Genomic DNA, 20,646 nt, shown 5'->3' with positions numbered 1-20,646 from the left:
CTACTCAAGTAACACAGATCAAATTTATACAAGGAAATACTTAGCTACCTTGTAAAGGTCATTAAATTAAAGTTACCATTTTACTCCATTATTAAGTTATTTCTTAATTTCACCTGTGCATTGGGATTTTCATCACTGCACCAAGGAAACGCTTGCCTGGGCAAACACAGGGCCCTCAGTGACATATATCAACTGGAGGTTGACCCATTGCCCATATCTAAAATCACTTGGACTGTTTCAAGTTTATTTCTTTTGTGTTCTTTTAAGAAAGGTACTGACCTGAGTTGCAGGTGCAAAAACTTCATAAAGCACACCCATAAGCCATGCCCACCACCGAATAAATATTACAACCAGGAGAAAGACAGTCACTAAATCCCAAACCCAATGTCAGAACAAAAGCCAACAGTGACATAAAACGGAAATATAAGTCCTTCTTTGGCAAGGACCATTCATAGGCTTATTTGCATCTCCTTTGATGCTTAACGCTGTGCTATTTACATTGCTGACCATCAATACATGCTTGCTGATTTTTTTCCTTTGCCTAAAGGGCTCATATGAAGGACTCTGCCCATTATGTGTGGCAAGCAGTAAAATGGGACCTTCTTAATTCTAGATTTCTTTTGTATTCCTCAAAGAAATTATGAACGACTTTAGGCTGATCTCTAGGACATCCCTGCACATAGAGTAGAAATTAAGGCTACTAGAATTTGAACATTTCTTAGTGATAGAAAGAGATACTAGCAATGTTTTGTTGTTGTTGTTGTTCCAGGGATCCCGCCACCTTTGTTGATTGTCAATAACATGCCTTGCCTCTCCTCTGAGAACTGATGTGATCTCTAGGATTATCTGGCCCCAAAAATGTCTTTTTACAACCATGCAAGCAATCCTACCCCTCTTCTGCACTGGCTGGAGGAAAGATGGACATTGAAAGGAAATGGTCAGTTAAAACATAGAGAAATCACTATCCTGGAAGTGGGCATGTGTTTCACTGACATAACTACTTAGAGAATGAAAATGGAGTTGAATAGAGTCCTACTTTTTCTTAAAACACAAAGTCATTAAATCTGGAAGGCACAAAGAAATGAAGGGAAAATCAGGTTGAGAGACCTCCACAAGAAATACAGACAATGAAGACAGTTTCACACTCTGGGCTGAAGTAAGCCACATAGCACCATTCCACCACCAAAGCTCTGCATCTTGGCCAATAGCGAGTAAGAGATGAAGCAGGAATACAAGTCAATAAAGTGGCTGAGCATCGTTATTCTTACGCGTTGTCATTGAAAGAGGTCCTGTCCTGTCCAAATCTTCCACCAAACCTGTGTTTGGATTTGCAGTAGGCTGAAGCGTTATACTATGACTGGAGTCCATATCTGAAGGAATCAATATTAGTGTTATTGCTTGATTTCCCAAACCACTACCTGAAGGTGGCTTATGGTCTACAGCTGATTTTTTTAAATATTCACATCTGGCCAAGAGGAAAGAAAGCACATACTGACTATATCTCCCGAACTGAGATAGATTATTGTTTCATCAAAGAGCACCACAACAAGTAACTGGCTTTCCTTGAAGGGCCGAGTTATATGAAAGCTATGCTGTGTGTTTGTTTTTGCTGAGTCTGGAAGGACTCCACATGAGTGCATGATGGAACACCCAAATCTTGCAGAGAGACAGAAACATTGCCTTTTTTATAGAAACATGCAATCTGACACATGGAGAAAAGACAAAGTGTGCTGGCTCAGGCACCATTTTATCCCCTCCCCCTTACCAACCAAAGGGACTTTTAAAAATAGCCCTCTTCCCCCCTTTAGTCTTTTTTTCTTCACAAAGTGAATATGCAAATAAACAGAATCGTCATCCAAGACCACCTAGGTGGAGTTACAGAAAGTATACAGGGGCAAGAAATAAGAAGCAGTGGACGTCATTGAATTATTCTTCCCAAAAACCCAAGTATAAGCGGTCTTTAAAATTTAACATGTACAATGTTGAGTAGTGCAGAAATTTCACTGAAATACTTGTAAATGTTGTTTTTAACAGTTATCACAGATCTACTCTGCTGAAATAAGAAGTCTTGAGTGAAACAGAGGCCAAACAATTCATAAACCCCATCGATATTTCTGGCTGTCAATTCAGTCAAAGTCTATCCACATCACTGCCTCTGGGGGAGATTTAATCAGTCCCAGTGAAGCACCAGAATACTGGGTACCCAGGTCTGCACTGCAGCCTTTCAACACTAAATATTCAAGATTCAACACTAAATATTCAACACTAAAATATTAAAGATCTTTGTAGGACAAAAATGTGGTGACCCTGTTATCCCAGATTTCAAACAAGAGCAAGTGCTAACCTGAATCAAAACCACAAATGGACATTCTCCCAGAAAAAGTCCCACTTGATGATGGGCTCTAGACTCTTGTTCATCTTCCCTCTTATAAGTAGAGTCCTTCAAGAGTCATCATACCATTGTGTAGTTGAAGCCAATTGTATTGTCCTTGACATGTTCATTAATTTAATGGAATCTCTTTCTCTTCATCAGTACATAGAATTAATATTGATTCTGAAGATCTTTGCCTGGCTTGGTTTTCCCCCATGGGTGTCCTCAGAGCTCCAGCTGCCATGTGCAAACTCATGTGTGCTGGGTCTGCCTGTGGTACTTCAGTCACTCAACATAATGGCCCCTGCCTAGCCATTCAAACACATCTTCCCTTGTGAAAAATGGATCCACTCACTGACATATTCATTCCTTGGCTTTTCTTCCTTCACGTTTCTCCTTACAGGAGTCTCCTTCTTAGGAAAACTGCCCCCCCCACCAACCCCCACCACCCACTTCCTTTCTCTGACTATCCAGGGTTTTTTTATTTTTCATAAACCAAGTCCAATTCACCTTTCTGTGATGCTGTGGTGGGCAGGGAGGGGTTCTCAGAATTTCTTTAGCGTTTATTGTTGGCAACATTCATTTCATATCTATTACTTACTGCCTCACACAGATATATTTTGACAATAAGTTTTTTCTTTTGCCAACCCTCCTGCTAAATTCCTTACTTTCAGCTCAGAACTTCATATTCAGGTGAATATGAGTATCACTCCTACCAAGAAAACTAATTTTTGAAGAACCTCAGGTCCTTCAGGAAAGTAGTTTGGTCTAAAACCAAGGGCATATTTCTAGAAAAATAGTCAGCAGTCACTCAGTGGATTTCAAAAAACATAATATATAAAAATCTCAGAGGCTATTACCCATCCTTCTTCCTGCTTGATGACCTCGTCCCATGGGGTGTGAGATTGGGTTGAAGAAATCAGTCCAGGAACTGTCCTCTGGGCTTGGTGTTGTCCTTCCTTGCATTGGATGGCTGGTATGAGCTGAGGCTGCTGTGACCATGCAGTTTGAGCAATTGTCAAAGTGTTAATGGACGCTTGGTCAGGGATACACCGATTTTATTTTTAAAAAAGACTTTATTCTCTAGACAAGACAATGAAACCATCTTCCTTGTATAGAGGGCAAGGAAGTTGCATAAACGCAGAATGTTTCAGCAGCTTTGGGTTCACTCATGCTCATTTTCTTCTTAGCAATCAGCATGTGAACTGGAGGACACAAAAGCATTAACAACTCCCGCAGTGCAGAAAGGATGAGTTACCGACATCAAAGGAAGATGAAGGAGAAGTACTTCTTGACCCATGCCATGCTGCCACAGTCCCCTAAAGGCAGAAGTATAAAAGCCCGAGTGCATGATGTTATTCTGAGACAACCATATTCCAGCCAAATGCACATTAGGCTGGAAGTGATCTCAGGAAAGGAATCAGGTAACAGCTTTCCATGTGATCAATATGAAAGTCAATGCCATTTATCTCAAAAGCATGAATGGAATCCGTTAGAAGCATTACCTTCTAACAATGGGATTTATGGCATAAATGACATATAAGAAAGCAGCACATGCCTTGCTTCATTCTGAGCCAATGAAGAAGTATAGGTAGAAAAGATTACAATAGCATCCTCTTAGCAACAACTACACCACATAGACAATCACAGAATCCATTGCTCTGCCAGGAATTCATTTAGAACTTGCCATGCCCCAGAAGGACATGATGCATTATCTTCTATGTTGCAAATAGAAATATGGGAATATTTCTCACTGATACCAAGTGAGAATATGGAATTCACATTCTTTATAAGGCAGGACACATTTTAATACTTATGTCACACAGACAAAAGAATCCTGCATGGGAGCTTGCAAAGCCAAGTTATCTGGTATCACTTAGAGATGATGATAAGACTGGATTCCAATTTCCACAATCTCACAATTCAAGAATAGAGAAGATACCTTTTTTATACTCAAAAACAAATTACTGAACAGGCATGGCCAAAAGGCCAAATGACATCAGACAGGTGTCACTTTTCACATAATGTCTGGCTCTATTTCTTCAAACACTGGAGTTCTGACAAAATGCTTTCTCACAGCCAGACTTTGCAGAATCATATTGTAAAGTCTGGACCCACATTATAGAGTAGATTCCTTTATACAACAGACAGCGATATTTTATCAGGGCCTCTGCTACAATCTCACTAGATGATGCCCAAAACTCGATGTGAAAGAGACATGTTCAAGGGCATTTTCTCTGTGTTTCCTGTTCTTATTCATAACTGGCTTGTATCCATTCCTGTTCAGGTGACTTGTTATGAGCCTTTAAGGTTTGGCTCTGTGTGAACTGCAGCATAATTTATTAAGTAACCTAACATCTCGTGACAATTCCTCCAGTGTCCTTTTGTTCAATGTCCTCAATGTCTACCGTTTAACCCAAAAGGAAGTTTCCATCCAAATTTACTTGTTAAACCATCCATTACCAGCTGTCCCTGTTGTCGAATGGGAGTCTTCTTTGGGTGTTTGGCGATATCCCTCATGCCATCTGTTGCCAAACCACTGTTCCTTCTGGGTAGCTGTTTCTTCCGTTGTACTACTAGGAGTTGCCTGGACTGTGAGAAGAATATCAGTTGGGAGACATAATTGTCTATTTTCCTCACCAATAGCTGTCAACATATCTTTCTACTTTAAGGGCAGATACACATGGGGAGGGAAGGTAGAAAAGAAAGGCACCAAGGAAACAGGCCACTGATATTCTAAAAGGGATATGAGAAATCAAATGATCCAAATGTTTAATTTTTCAGCTAGGAAAATTGTGGTCCAAAGAAGTTTTGATTTGTTCAAAATCATAGGACTAAGCAGACCATAGCTGATGAATTCTCATAGTTCTATGAGTTATTATTATTTTTATTTTACTGTAGTGAATGGCTTCACATACCCTGTCTGAGAAAACCATTCAAAGAATAACCTCTTTGCTCCAGTCATTTTGACGAAAGGAAAACACTGTATAACAGCTAATAACAAGATCAGCACATTAGGAGACCTTCTCAAATGGTGGTCATGTAACCCATAATCGCACACACTGGAAATGCACCAGCAGTGGATTTGCCCAGCAGGAAAGATGGTGGGATGGCTTGGATGCTATTCCACTAACACAGTATTTGGTGATGTCCACATGGCACCTAAAATTGCTAAAATCACTTTTTAACAAAATTAATTCAGTTGACGAAAACTATCCAAGCCAGTTTGAGGCATTATATAAATAATAGTGTGTGACAGGCTTAAAATTTCAACCATCATTTTAAAAAGGACAAAATCAAGAGAATATAATTCCATCAAGGTGTCTTCAGGAAAAGTCAGAAAGACACCAACATTTTTGTCTATAGCAGCTTGTAGCAATTTCTTTTTTTTTTTTAGTTTATCAAGAAAATGAGAGTCTATAAACTTGCCAAGCCAGAGTACTTTTTTGCAACTTGTAAAAATGGTTGTATTTCCTTATCTTAGAAAATGATATGTGTGATTTGGTGACAGTAATGACATTTAAAAAATATAACTGTCCTCATTTTACCCTTCCATCGGCCAAGCCATTATTGGGTTAACTGGTTATCCAGGAGGAGGGGGAAAAAAGCCAAAATCTTAAGTTTTACAAAACTCCCACTGACTAAATCACTAATTCCCAATAAATAATGAAGTTACAAAAACCACTGAATGTAATTACAAAAAAGGGAAAACTGACCCAAACATAGACTGCTATGTTACTCAAAGTTTAAATAAAAGAAATAAGGAAGTGTATGTGTGTGACTGTATAGAACACTATGCTCCTTCTATCACTAATTTTATAAACATAATGATTTTTTTAAGTACCCATAACTCTTAATTGTTTTCAGCCTAAATAGGAATGGGTTAGCAAAACATATGATTTCTATTGTAAAAGATGAAGGTTGACTTTCTTCTAGAAGTTGTGATGTTAATTTGATAAAGCCCAGAGGTCACCAATCAGATCCCTTTGAGTTTCGCAAATATTCATAAGATAATTGTTACAGTTGTTGCTGTCTTCTCTTTGTCAAGTTACATTCTGTCTGAATTTTCACCAACCCTCTAGTCCTAATGCCCCGCAAGCACCACCTTTTGACAATAGGCTCATTATTTCCAAGTCTCTAAAGTAGCTTTCTGGTCTTTAAGTACAAACTGTCTAAAATAATTTCTAAGGTATACTGTTAGGGCTCTAAGGGAGTGGAACAAAATCCTATTCCAAAGAGATTTATGCTTCCTCTGTATTTCCTTTTCTTATCAGACTTCTTTGTTAACTTAACCCCTAAGCCGTATGTATACAACACACCTACTGGGGTTTGTAATGGGATGTAAGATCTGCTGGATATATTCAGTACAATGTCTAACCTCTATCCTAACTGATACCTGAAACTTTTCTTTTGTTATCTGAAGGCACCCCTCAAGCCATAGATTCCCAAAGCCCTTTGGTTTTTAAGTGGCTTTTAAGTGGCTCACATTTCCCCATTAGGTGTATCTAGGGCTGTGAGAATGACAGTTGGGTCATCATTTTAAAAATGCTAAAAAGCTGTTTTCCAAAATAAATACTTTTATTCCAAATAAGATAGACATATCTCAGCGGGATAGATAAAAGAAGAAAAGCACATACTTCTTATGTTTGGGGAGTGAGGGGGCCCCCTATTCTCACAGTCCACTGCCGCAACTTGAGATTGTTTTGGAAAACCTGAGTTTTCATAATAGTAGAAATAACAGTAAGAGCATCAAAGCCTTCCCCAAGTTACCATGGGCTTAAAAACAGAAAAAGAAGCAGTGGTAGAATTCAAATGAAGACCATAAGAGCTACCAACTTTGCTCTAAAGAGTACAAGGGATGTCTTTCTATAGAACAGTCAGGGACAGAATGCAAAAAAGACACTGTATTCATCAAAGATCTTCATAGAAAATAAGGATTCCAAAGATCAATTCACTTGACAAACTTTCTTTCCAGATTCCACTACTAAGCACCAAAAGAACACACTCTTTGCCACACATTTCAATGAACACACACAAGTTACCCAAATGGAACCTCTAGGAACCTTTAACACAAAAATTGTATCTAGATCTACTTCTTAAAACATTTTGGCCTTTGGGCAACCTGATGAGTTATCATTTTCCTTCCAATTTTTAAAATTTGTGTGCGGGTTTAGCAGCTTTTCAGGCTCTAAGAATAAAAGAAATTACCGAGTGGAAATAGAAGATGCGGCCAATTTCTAAACAAAATCTTCCCTATTGCTGGAATGTCTTTACTAATTCATCTAACCCAGAACTGCCGACCGCCATCTTGCTTACTTGTGCTTGTAGAATGTGGGGTCTCTTCTTCCTCATGATGCTCATGGTGAATGAGGGGAGGGTGTGCTTCTGGGTTCCAGTTTCCTTCATAAGCAGTGGTGCCATTTCTGTCTACATCTGCTGTGATGATGGTTAAATACACTGTGACTTGTTATCAACCAATCTTTAATGATTCTATTCTTCCATTAAAGTGCATGCTATTTAACAATTCTATGCCAAAGTGTTACCTCTGAGCATCCACTCTCAAAAATTTTGAGTGACTTTACCTAATTGGTCTCAAGAGAAAATCAATGGGCTTGGAATTTCTTCATGTTCCCTTATTATTCCACTATGATCAGTTTGTCAAAGGCAGAACCACAAACCATTCAAACATATTCATTTTTATCATGAAGCAACATAAAAAATCCTGTGCCCACATGGTATAATTGATAAATGACTCCTAAATGGAATTAAGTATCCTCATAAAAGTCCACTAAGAATTTCTTGATCAGATATTAACTAAATTTCCCACTGTGCCTCGATGATTGACCTTTGCAGCATCATGGGCTTTGAGGGGAAAAAAATCTTTCATTAAATATGCAGAACCCATTACCAGTCATCCTTGTGGTTGTCTGAAGTAGCACTTCCGGATTTGAATGGCTTGGGTTCCACTGGGTCCAGTCCTGGTTCTGTTTTGTGTGGTCAAAAGCCCGTGGTGTGGTTGAAACTGTGATAACGATGATTGAAGCAATTAGAAAAATGTTATTTCTTGAGCCTTCGCCACTTGTCCCGCACATAGTCTTGCTTCTGTAGGCTATGCAATGAATCATCTATACCAGGTTGTATAGATGGCTGCATGGAAATGGAGGGAAAGCGGAGGGTGACTTCAGCTTAATTCAGCCATATTGGTAAGCATCTCAGTGTCCTTTGCATTCTGTCATAGAATACCTTGGGGTTCAGAACATGAGATCTTCCAGATAAAACAGTCAAAGAAGCTGCAGCAGTAGGAAGGACAGCTTTGAAAACACCAGCCCTCCACCGAGGATAACCAAAGGCGCCATTTTGCCCATCCATGCAGTCTGTAGTATCCCTCTGCACTTGAAAGCCCAGGGACTTAGTCACTGTGTGCTGTTTGTAGATCCTCCGGGTGAAGAGGCAGATAACTGAAAGTTATACCATGATAATCACTTTATGTTGTTAGTAATTTCAGTGGGGAAAGGAATGCCTGAGCAGCTAGAGCTTTCCTATAGATGATTCTGAAAAAGAATACCTAGAATAGCCATATGTTTTAGCGATACATTTCTGAATATTTATCAAACACTATGGTATTCTCATCAAATACAAAATATGTCATGAGCAAGCCATTCATAGCCAGTGAAAGAAAATAAGACACCACAGGTAACCAGCCACCATCATAGCAGCACACTGGAAAGAAAGAGGCGTACATCCACCAGCACCCTGATATTGTCACCCAATCTGTTAGGGCTGGAATAAGAGATGCACCTAACAGAAGGATCATGACAAAATCTGAGTCAACATGTTTTGTGAAAGGTTATTTGCAAATCCATCCTAATTGTTTCAAACTTTATTTTGATACCCAAATAACGCAAAACTGTTTTCAGAACTATAATACTGTCAGCTCTATTTTACAAGTTATGAAAAATCAAGTTTAGAATCATTAACCACATTCTCAATAGGCCTGAAAAAGTGCTTATTATCAAGCAGTTATCACACCCCTCCAGAAGAAAGAGGGCATCATGTTGAATTATGTCCATAGGTGCTAAGCAGAAAAGAAAAAAAAAGAAAAGCAGAAATTGGAAAAATATGCCATAGAGATTTAAAAAATTAAAAAAAAAAAAAAAAAAAAAAAAAAACAACACCATGGGAAATTTTTCCCTGAAGCCTGACCATACAATTCATTTACAGGTAGATCTGTTTGGGTTACCACCCAAGGGAATTTAATTTCTTCAGTATCAAGACCACGTATTTACTGATGGGCCCATCTGCAAAGCTGGGCCACATGCTGAACACAGGAGACAGTATAATGTAAAACTCCAGTGTTTTTGATTATTTGGTTTTTGTTCTGAAGTTACCAAAAGGAATTTTCTTATTCCATAGATTAAGCTCTGGAGGGGTGTCGGGTCTAAAAAAAAAATCACTTAAAAGTTTAGATAGAAAATTCTAGTTCCTTTTGAGTATTTGTCATATCAATGTTATATACTCAGATGCCTTCAAGGCCTAAGCTATTTTTTTTTCTGGACCCTTTCTTCTCTGTCCATTTGAGGATGAAATTCTCAGATTTTAATGGAATGGATAGAACTTCAGTGAATTGGGAGAGCTCACACAGCACCCCAAAAGCCTTTTTTCTAAGGAAAAGCAGAACTGTGATGGAGTCAGGTTCAGGATTCTCAGCTCTGTTCAGCAAAATCTTAAGTCATTACAGGTATGTGTGGAAAACTCAGTAATCTGGCAGAATATTAGACCAACCTTTGCATGTTTTTAACTTTTTAAGGATATCTTTAAAGCTCAATTTCCATCTCTTTGTTCTCAAAAAGTTTTATAATTGTCAAAAATTTGGATACTATTATGTACCAATAGTGGTTTCATTATTTGCTTTTAATAAGTGGCAATGTCTTGCTAAAGCTAACCTGACATTTGCCCTTCCCTTCAAGGTCTTTCTGCTATATTGGTGTCCAGCTCATTTGTTAAAACTCTGGATTTGTTCCTTTGACCTCAGCTGGGCTTTGATTAACTAAGATAATTCTTGAGTTCTAGCTCCCATCATTTAAGCCTTTAGGGCCTTCAATTTAGGAACTTCCACAACTTTTTTTTTTTTTTTTTGAGATGGAGTCTGGCTCTGTCACCCAGGTTAGAGTGCTGGAGTGCAGTGGCGCGATCTCCTCCTGGGTTCACACCATTCTCCTGCCTCAGCCTCCCGAATAGCTAGGACTACAGGCACCCGCCACTACGCCTGGTTAATTTTTTGTATTTTTTAGTAGAGATGGGGTTTCACTGTGTTAGCCAGGATGGTCTCGATCTCCTGACCTCGTCATCTGCCCGCCTCGGCCTCCCAGGGTGCTGGGATTACAGGTGTGAGCCACCACGCCTGGCCTACAACTTTTAATTAATACCCTCCTCATCACATTCTTCAAGTCTATTGCTCCAACAGACCATGAGCTTCTGAAAAGCAAAGGCTCTGGCTCTTTTCATCTTCGTGTTTCCAGCACCTAGCACAGTAAGTACACAATGTACATTTTTTGTACTGTTTTAATGTCATTCTCTGATAAAGCCTGATCATTCAAAGACAATCTGTAGCAGTAGATCCCATAGATAAATAAAACAGGAAGAACATGAGACAAGAGAAATTTTGTGAGATATTTTCCCCACTTCTCAAAACATTCTATTTCTTCTTCCATAATCTCATCAAGATATAACTAAGGTATGATCATAGGTTCACCCATTTTTCACATTAACTACTTCTCAAGAGAGATACAATTTGGTATCACTCAGATTAATCAATAAGCCTTGCATAAATGGCTGTACTGTAATTGATTATTCTTACTGGTGCTGGAGATAAAATCTTCATCATCATCAATGCCTGATCCAGAAAAACTGAGGTGTCTGTCTCTTTCATCTTCATTTTCTTCATTTGGCTCCCAGCCTGCTGAGATGGTATTTGAAGACGTACCTGTTGTGGTGACTTGCATTAGTGGCTGAGCTGGACGCCAAGCAACCCACTTGCAAAGGAAGAAAATCAGGCACAGAAGGTATAATGGATTTCCCAGGATTTTTAAAAGAAAGTGAGGGAGTTGACTTGCATACCCCAAATTCTTATGTTCTGATCTCCGAAGCTAATACATAAATCTCAAAACAAGTGGCTATGATCTTTAAAACTGAATATTCTCTTTAAGAAAGCTGAAAGAATAAGTGTGGACATAATCTCACCATATAAGTTTTTAAAGGCTAATGAAAACTCCCCCACACTTTCAGATATGTTTATTATTAACTCATTAACCATATGCCATTAAAGCCAAGCCATCAAGAACAGAATGGAAAGGTTTCACACGTGCCTTTTTTTTTTTTTTTTTTGGTCAAGACACCTTCAGAAAAATGTTGGAATCTACACCTACGTCAGTCATTTCATTGTGTTCACAATTTGCTAATTCATTTTTTATCTTCTCTAGTATCAGATCAGATCAGTGTACCTCCAAACAGAGATGGAAGCTACACTGCAGTTCCCAATACTACTTCAGCATAGAGCAAAAATGTGAAGCCAATTAACAGAGAAATCATTTTTGGCATTATTAGGCAATCAAAGGGGTTAACTAAAGTGAACTGTGGTTCAGAAATTGAGAAATTCTTTTTCTTTTTGAATAAAAAAAGGAGATGAAAAACTTCCACTTCTTCTCAGTGGTTACTGTAGAAGATGTCTCTTTACTAAAAAGGGGTTTTCTACATTTTAAATGAGATTCAGGCTATCTTAGGGAATGAGCATTTGTCTTTTCATATGATTAGTGTCTACCCCAAGAATAGTTCCATTGATGAAGATTTTCTATATTTTTTCATATCTAGCTATGCTATTTCCTCATGAAAGTCCAAGACTTTTTATGACTGTGGTAATTTTAGAATATACATGAATGATCTTTCAGAGTCACAATTTTGCCATATCGTTAAAAAAACTTATTCCCGTTTCATAGTCTCTGTATTAGCCTTCTCCTGGTCTATACTAATCCATAGATTAGAAAGAAGAAATCTGCTTATTGGTGCCATACAAGCAAACAAACAGATACCAGAGTTAATGATCCTTCTGAAGTCATAACGAAAATTTGTGAGAATAGAAGGAACGTTAGGCTTTAATAACATCCCAGAGGTCAATCAAAATTATTCAAGGCTGTCAAGAAAACATACGCTATGAGATAATAATAACTCATTACCAGCCATTTGTGTTGTTGTGTGAAGATGATTCTTTGACTCTGATGGTAGAAACAACCATGAAAACCAATCCCAGGTTTCTTGCCTCTTGGTTGCTGTCTCAGTTGCTGTAGCACTAGTGCTCATCAAAGCTGTTGTAATCATGATTGAATTGATTGTTGAAAGATTAATTAACGGTTCCTAAGAAATAGCATTGAATATGCTTGTACTCTTTTACTACTCAAGAGAATCATCTATATTTGATATAGATGGTGAAAAGAAAGGGAAAAAGCAAAAAAGTTCCATTTTTTTCAGAGACTCAAACTGAAGTTTATAGAATGTCAGAGAGGGAAGGATCTTAAATGTCATCTGGTTCATGCTCCTTATATTAAAGATTTAAAAATTTTGCTGGACAGAGCTTCTGACCTGTCTGAAGTCAGAAGCCTAATTAGCAAGAGTGAGGGCTCCAGGAACGCATGACAGCCGTCTTTGAATTTTGAAAGTCTATATAATGTAAAAGAGGGATTAAACTTTTTTGCCTCTGGATCCATGAGGCCAAATTAGGATCTGTGGTGAAAATTTCAGGAAGAGGAATGTTCTTCCAAATGTTGGATTTAAAAAACCAATAATCTGAACTATCCAACAATGAACTTCTTCATAAAGTATTATGTTTCCCATAGTCAGGAAGATCACTTGGCAAGAAAGTTGTGTAAGAGATTAAATTATTAGAAGTGTTGATTGAACCAGACCATTTAACATCCTTTCCAAACCTGAGAGTTTATGATTCTAAAACCCAGCTCTTCAGAGTCCTAGCTCCTTAATCTTCTATACAATCTTGGGCAACCAATATCATTCTCCAAGAATTTAGGATATGATATTTCTGCCAGCAATAGATACATAATCTTAGCAATCCAACACACAGGGAAAATGACATAGAAGTAGAAGATTGAAAAATATGCCTCTACACTTTTCTCCATTTAGATTCCAAATCCTCTCACAACCTTGCCCAAGGTAATTTCTTATGTGAAACTATATTTTGCAAAGCAGAACAGGACATTTTGAGTCTCATTCTTTGAAAATAGGATAATCAATCAGGAAAGACAGACAGAGATGAAGTGACCCCAATGATCTTGCTAATAAGACCAGAAGCAAGAGTCTTGATTTAAAAATCTCCAAAGACTGCCATTTCTATAACCAATAATGCCCAAAAATGTGCATTGGAAGAATATGAGCTAACAGTAGACAAAAAACTGAGAACAAGTTCAAGCAGAGAGGCTGAAACCATCATCCCCAAACAAAATAGTAAGGTGAGTTAGATTTTTTTTTCAGCTATCAAGAAAGCCCAAAAATGAACCAAGAAGATGAAACACTGCCAAAAAGACCTTTTCCTTCACATTCTTTGTCCTATGAAGATAAACATTGTCAACATTTAAAAATAGCATTGTCTTTATTCTGCAATCTCTGTATCCCCCCTCCCCACCCCTGCATGATCTTAGACATTGTGATATGGCAACCATAACATAACATGAGCACTATTTTCCTCACGATTATTTATAGAAGTAAAGAATATAATTTATCCAATGTCATATAAGGCAAACAAATGTAAAGAATAATTTTTCCATGTTTATTATCCCCCTCTGCAGAAAGAATGCCTAGTTATTTTGAAATATGGCCATTAACTCCATCAATGAAAGTTAATAAATGAGGGTGTCCTTGTAATCTCCCATATTTACAGGCCTTGAATCGTTTTTCCCCAAAGCTCCTGTAACAATACACTTTGCAGGGATATAGAGCTAAGAGCCACACACCCAGGGAGCTGGTTAGAGGCCTAGATTCTGATATGGAGCAACAGGTCATTTCCTACACTTTACAGTTGAGATTTTAAGTGTCCAAAGAAGGGTTCAGGGCCTACACTTTGATGAGAGAAATCTGCATTTCCTTCTCTTATTACTGGCTGTGAGAATCAGATCAGCAGAAAGGAGAAGCCTGCACTTTCCGGCAGACTTCTTTCTAAAGGACATTTTCTCATTGAATCACACAGTCAATTCATTCATTTGTAGTTTTTCATAATTTCATTCATTCATTCAAAACTATTGATTCATAGTTTTTCCTTCCTCTGATGGAAAAATCATTCTGATTCTATATACACATTGCCAAAAGGAAAACATACAGGACATTTAAGAATATCAATCATATCCCCAGATCCACAGGCCTTTCTGATATATGAAGTGGTACAAGACCCTATTCTCACTAAGAATGATGAAGGAGATTTGACGTGATAATGGACGTCCTCTCCCCTAACACTAAAAGGTCTGACATCCAGGAGAGCTGATAAGCAAAAGACAAAGCAGTTTACCTGTCGTTGCTGTTGTTGTGAGATCCTGAGTCTTAGGCTGTGAATTACCAAACCAGGACCATATCTAGTTATTTTGCTCCTGAGCTGTTGCGTGGCTGTTTGAGTGCACAGTTGAAGTAACTGGATCAATTATGAAAGTATCACTTAGTGATATTCCCTCTACAAATCTTTACTTTCAGTTCTGCCTATATATGATGTCTGTATCTATTATTGAATGATAATTAGAAAAGAAAATCTAGGCCTGGTTTTATCTTTCCAGACTCCTAATGTCTCCCACAATCTTAGGACAACATCAGAAATGCAAATTCCTCATGGGTATAAATTTCATGCTACTCATTCTTCAAACTGAATCCCCTGAATTCATGATCAAAGCAAAATCAAGCAGCAATTTAATAACCTGTGAAGGAAAGAGATTTTCTATTTACTTGATTGGGCGACTGAGCCATGAGCTGGAGGTTTTCGAAGCAGCATTTCAAACGACTGCTTTCATGCATTTATCTTTGGATTATCTTTGGGTTGCTAGTGTGTATTTTTCACATCTGTCTAGCATTGTACCCAGGTAGTTTGTGATGACAACTGGCATTTCAAAGCTCCGCCCACACGCATCAGCCTCAGGTCAAACTTCATACTTGAGCAGGAACTTTGCAAAGAAAATGTGTTCAAAGTGTCGAAATCAGATAAAACTTCCTCAGGTATCCATCTATCATTTCTGTCACTTTTTATTCTAATTCAATATGTGTTTCTACCAAAAACTAGAGTTGCCAAAGTTAGAGAAATTCCAGACTTTTCTCAAATTAGAGAAAATATCATCAGTAACATTTTGCAATTTAAAATCTCTCATTCGACTCTCAAGTTTGACTTGAGTCCAGCATGTTTTCTTATTGAAATGGAATGGCAAAAACCATCAGGATAAATATCTAATTTAAGCCAGCTGAGATTTTAAAAAGCCACTTTAAATTATATATCCCTTTGAAAATCTACGTTATGTCCTCCTTCCTCAAAAAAGTGATGCTACATATACACACTCAAAATTTTGCATATTATTTCAGATAGTTCTAGAATGCCTTATGGTCTACCATTGAACCTACTGAAGGTCCATGAACCCTAGGTTAAAAACTTTGACTCTATCTATATAAAATGCCAACAGCTGGCACAGTATGTTCTGTCCTCTAAATCAAGCTTGTCCAACCCGTAGCCTGTGGGCCACCTGTGATGCAGGATGGCTTTGAATGTGGCCCAACAAAAATTCATAAACTTTCTTAAAACATTATAAGCTTTTTTTGTTGTTGTTATCCCATCAGCTATGGCTAGTGTTAGTGTATTTTATGTGTGGCCCAGGACAATTCTTCTTCCAATGTGGCCCAGGGAAGCCAAAAGACTGGACACCCCTGCTGCAAAGGACACATTAGTTCAGAACAGAGAGTAGAGAAATAGGAGCCAATTTTACCCATGAAGCCTCCAGACAAACCTGAGCATCCCCGGGAAAATCCACAGACACCACATTCTCACCTCAGAAACTTTATTAAAGATGCATAATTCCCACCACCCTCACCCAATAGTACAACAGGAAAAAATAGTACCAGAGGAAACAAACCTACAAGAACAAGATAGAAATAGGCGTTATTTTTGTCTTCCTGAAAGGAGTGGTATGAGGGGGAAAAATGGAAAAAGCTACTGCCTAGCCAGCAGAATTTCTAATTTTCCCCACCCAAATAGGCCATACCAGATCTGAAAAAAAAAAAAAAAAAAAAGAAAGAATTCCTTTGACACCCAGAAGACAAGGAAATACAGTGTTCCAAGGCAGGAGTCTGCTTCCTGAATTAGTTTAGGTTTCTTGATCCCAGAGAGTTCCAGGTCACCAATAGGAAGAGGCTGATGACACTCAAGATAAACAGCCTGCTGGAAGCCTAAAGCTACCCAGATGGTTATTCTTACTAGCTGTCCCTATTGCCACCCACTACAGGCCCTTCAGGAAGGAATGAGCCAGCCGAGCCAAAGACCGCTTCTTCTGTGCTCTCAGCCAGCACTCCTCTTGACCCCTGCCCTCCTGCAATGCATGAGGGAGGCTTTGCAATCACTCCCTGTCACTCTGTCCCAGCTCTCAGTCCAACAGTGATAAGGTTTTGCAAATCTCCTCACTGGACTTTAGAAATACGATTCTACTCAGGAACCTAACAGTGCTGACTTTTCCTGGCATGCCATTATGCTACGTTCAAGTTTCCACCAGGTTGTTTGCCTTGGTATGTTTCTTTGCATGAAGTGATCCACTTGGAGCTGCTACTGGTCCCATTGGGTCCTATAGTACTTCAGTGACTCTCAGGTTAGCCCTGGACTCATTTGGTAGACTCATTAGTCTCTTTCTTTTTTAGCTGCTGAAGGAAACTTAACTAATTTATCTGGGAGGAGAAAGGCACAATTCATTTCTCAGCTCAAATCCTGAACTATGTTTTAGTTAAATCTCATAAACACTCCTTTTCCCTGATTTCTAAACCAATAATATGTAGTCTCCATGAAGGTAAGTCCAACTCTGAATTCCTAGCATCCTAGAGCAGTGTCTGGCATACAGAAGACCTCAGATATTGATTGAATGAATAAATATCTCAGTAATCCTTGCCTCTCTTCAATATTACTTCCTAACTATGTTTATCCTTCGATCCCAAGCATTCTAATAGGCCTGGTACGTAGTAGGTTCTCAAAATACGTTTGCTGACTAACTTAGGAAGGGAAGATACAGTTCTTAAGAGATATTCTATAGGGGTTAATGAAATGTGTGTTTTTAAAACACACATGAAATACTATTTTATATAGGCTATTAGTGGTTTGAATGTTAACTACATATAGTCCCAAGTTATGTTTTATCAGGATTTTCTTCTTTGGTGGGAAGTGGTACTTTAGGGTAGACCTATTCTCCTTCCTGCTGAGACCACTAATTATTGTGTTCGCTAACATCCGACAAAATTGCCTACCATAATGATAAGCACCTTCGACATGGTTACTTTAAAAAGACAGGGAACCCAAGAAGCAGTGAGTAGCTAGCAGCACGGCCCGCTTGGTTTGCAGAAGCCTCTCTCAAGAAGGGTTGCCCACGGGACTACCAACAATAAGCCGATGCAAACTCAAGAGGGCCAATAACCCAAGAAAGTATGGGCAGCTTGAAAACTCTGCTTTTTAAAAAGCTTCAAAGAATGTGCAGGGAGTGATGGGAACCCCAAGCCTATTTGTATCATGCCCTCAGCCAGAGACTGACAGAAATTTAAAACACTATTGCGCAAGTGACCTTAAATGAAATCACAGTACTGTGGGGGTTTCCCTGGCTTCTGGGTGACAAGGAATAGAGAAGGGCCCTGTCTTGAGTATTCACAAGCCAGCGCATTTCTGCCACACTCTTTGGAGGCCCAAGTTTCACCCCTCAGGAGCTATAGCCAGGAAAAGAGAACATCCACACCATACTAGGAAAACCGCTCCAGAGGCAGATGCCCTATTTGAGTTTGATTAATCCTCCACAGGAGGAACATGGCCCATCTGGGAGCCCATTTCAAAACAAACCATAGAAGAAAAGCAAAGAGGGAAACAGGAGACAAGAGAGATGTAAACACTTTCCAGTGGAGCTGAAGCGCGAGGGGCAAACTCCAAAGGAATGGAACGCAATGTTTACATACTTCCACTCTTGCAACCCTAAGTAATGAATTACCCCCACACACCAAGTAAGTATTGAGAACATTCCCCAACAGGCTGGATTATAGAGCTCTTAAGCTGATTTAATTTCACCAGAAAACTCTTCCAGATATGCTTCCTTGGACTAAAAACAAAGGAATTGTTGAGTAAATTATCGTTGGTGAAAATCACTGAATATTACACTATCAATAGTATGAATGTAAATCAAGTTAAAACATAAAAAGCCACAGTTGACCCACGTATGCCTACTGTTCCATTATTGGAAAGCTAAGCATGTGGGAGTTATTTATATCCTACTGCTCATTGTCATCACCAAGGTCTGATTGCAAAAATTCAAAAAATTGCAACCTCAGGCATAAGTGGGTTTTTTAAAAGGTGCTAGTGGAGTGGTATGCAAACTCTATGATCCCAACTTTATGAAAACAATCTTATCCATAGGTGGATAAGAACAAGAAGGAAACATGAAAAAATGAAAACAGTTTTCATATCAGGCTTGAATTGTTACTGTATACCTGGGGATAAGAGAATAAGGAGGGCTCTCCCCAAAATAAAACTTCCAATATGGCACTTCTTATGCTAAGGTAAGAAAAACAGTTATAGATGAGGAAAAAAGGTAGGCAGTAGTAGTCAATGCAGGCAGTTTACTGACAACCACAAGAGCCCACCTCCCTGAATGGCATCACCAGCTTCCAGCTGTCTAGAGACGAGAAAATCAGCACGTGAGTGTGCAATGCTCAGGAAGGTCAGAGACATTTTGCCAGGGAATTGCTATTGGGAAGCACAGTGATTTATTCTCCTTACTGGTAGCAGGGATTCTGTCTGTGCTGTCGGTGATCCAGGGACTGTCTTCGTCTGGGATGGGGTGTACAGTAGAAAAGGTGTAAAAGATGTAACCTCCTGAAGTGCTGCTCCTTTCACTGGAGGAGCCGCTGCTCACGTCATCATCAGTAGGGTTGCTGGGGTAGATGTCTTCAGGATTCGTTCTGTATTCTCCTTTCTGGACATAGCGGGTGCCATCACGGTTAACAATAGCTGGGAGAGAGAAAAGGTACTTACAGAACTTCACAGCTCATATTTTGAGTATGTGGATTAGCGTTTAACATAGTGACTTCAAAGCTATTTTCCTTTGTAATGAGAAACACCTATCTATCCAGTGGTGGGAGAGAGTGGCAGATGCACTAAGAAAGTGCACCCTCCCATCCCCCACACACCCTGGGGATGAGGCAGGAAACAAGGAAGTACTGGAGAGTCCCATCCCTGTGTTTGAATCCTAGCTTCATAGAGCTCTGGACAAGGCAACTCTGAGCTTCAGTTTCCTCATTTGTAAAATGGGGATTATGTGATACATTGTAAGTAAAGTGCTCAGCACAGTATTCAAAATACAGTGGATGCTCAATAAATAATCATTCTCCCACTTGTTTCCCTACTCTCCCTTCTGAAGTACATATAAAATGTGTTGCTATTAATTCCATATATTCCTCCGAAAAGGATTTGAAGTAGCAGACTAATAGCCTCAGCAGGGAAGATACATCTGCAAAATGATGAAGATTTTGATTTTCTTTTTTAAGGGGCAAGTTTTGTCCACTTGTGCAAACACCCACTTCTGGCTAGGAAACCAGCAGGTCTAAATACAGAAGAGCATTTGCCGTTCTCTGTGAAATTCAACCTGGAAATTAACAAGCACAGATATACATGAAGATCAACATCTGTGGTTTCAACAAATGACTAGAATGAATTGGAGAAGAAAAAGCCTGAATGCATTCATTCATTATTCCTCCCTAGAAGTATTTGCTGCTCTCAAGTCTGGGCCACTCACTATGCAGGTGTGCATTTAGATGAAATTATTTTCTGCTGTATTGCATTGATGGGACTAAAGGTTCTTTTTGGCCACATATTTAGCTTGCTCAAATGAAACTTTTTTTTTTTTTCGAGATGGAGTCTCACTCTGTTGCCCAGGCTGGGGTGCAGTGGTGCAATCTCAGTGTGCAGCAGCCTCCGCCTCCTGGGTTCAAGCAACTCTCCTGCCTCAGCCTCCCAA

General features: G+C 39.0%; 1 protein-coding gene across 44 annotated transcripts in view, besides 1 other annotated feature; it reads right to left on the bottom strand.

Annotated features, from left to right (window-relative positions):
* The window catches only part of CD44 (CD44 molecule (IN blood group)), a 93,232-nt gene that overhangs the window by 22,928 nt on the left and 49,658 nt on the right, over nt 1-20,646 (bottom strand). For 4 of the 44 annotated variants that reach the window (NM_001202555.2, NM_001001391.2, NM_001202556.2 and 1 more), the window contains exon 5: nt 19,410-19,640. The exons of 1 other annotated variant lie outside the window; for it this stretch is intronic. In NM_001202555.2, coding sequence (NP_001189484.1) covers nt 19,410-19,640 — 231 coding nt within the window. Of the gene's footprint in view, nt 1-1,268; nt 1,371-3,231; nt 3,364-3,427; nt 3,691-4,834; nt 4,964-6,930; nt 8,830-11,228; nt 11,355-12,600; nt 12,730-19,409; nt 19,641-20,646 lie in introns of those variants that run through there. 39 more of the 44 variants (NM_001440327.1, NM_001440329.1, NM_001440331.1 and 36 more) reach the window with 30 other exon arrangements.
* Nucleotides 3,209-3,973: an enhancer, noted in NCBI's record as "NANOG hESC enhancer chr11:35227049-35227813 (GRCh37/hg19 assembly coordinates)". NCBI's record gives its function as "activates a minimal SCP1, AML or CMV promoter by ChIP-STARR-seq in naive and primed H9 embryonic stem cells {active_cell/tissue: H9 hESC(naive and primed)}" and the evidence as "EXISTENCE:reporter gene assay evidence [ECO:0000049][PMID:30033119]".

This window comes from Homo sapiens, chromosome 11 (assembly GCF_000001405.40).
Source record: "Homo sapiens chromosome 11, GRCh38.p14 Primary Assembly".
NCBI classification, from domain to species: domain Eukaryota; kingdom Metazoa; phylum Chordata; class Mammalia; order Primates; family Hominidae; genus Homo; species Homo sapiens.
Note: the sequence above shows the minus strand (reverse complement) of the source record. Positions and strands in the feature narration are given on the sequence as shown.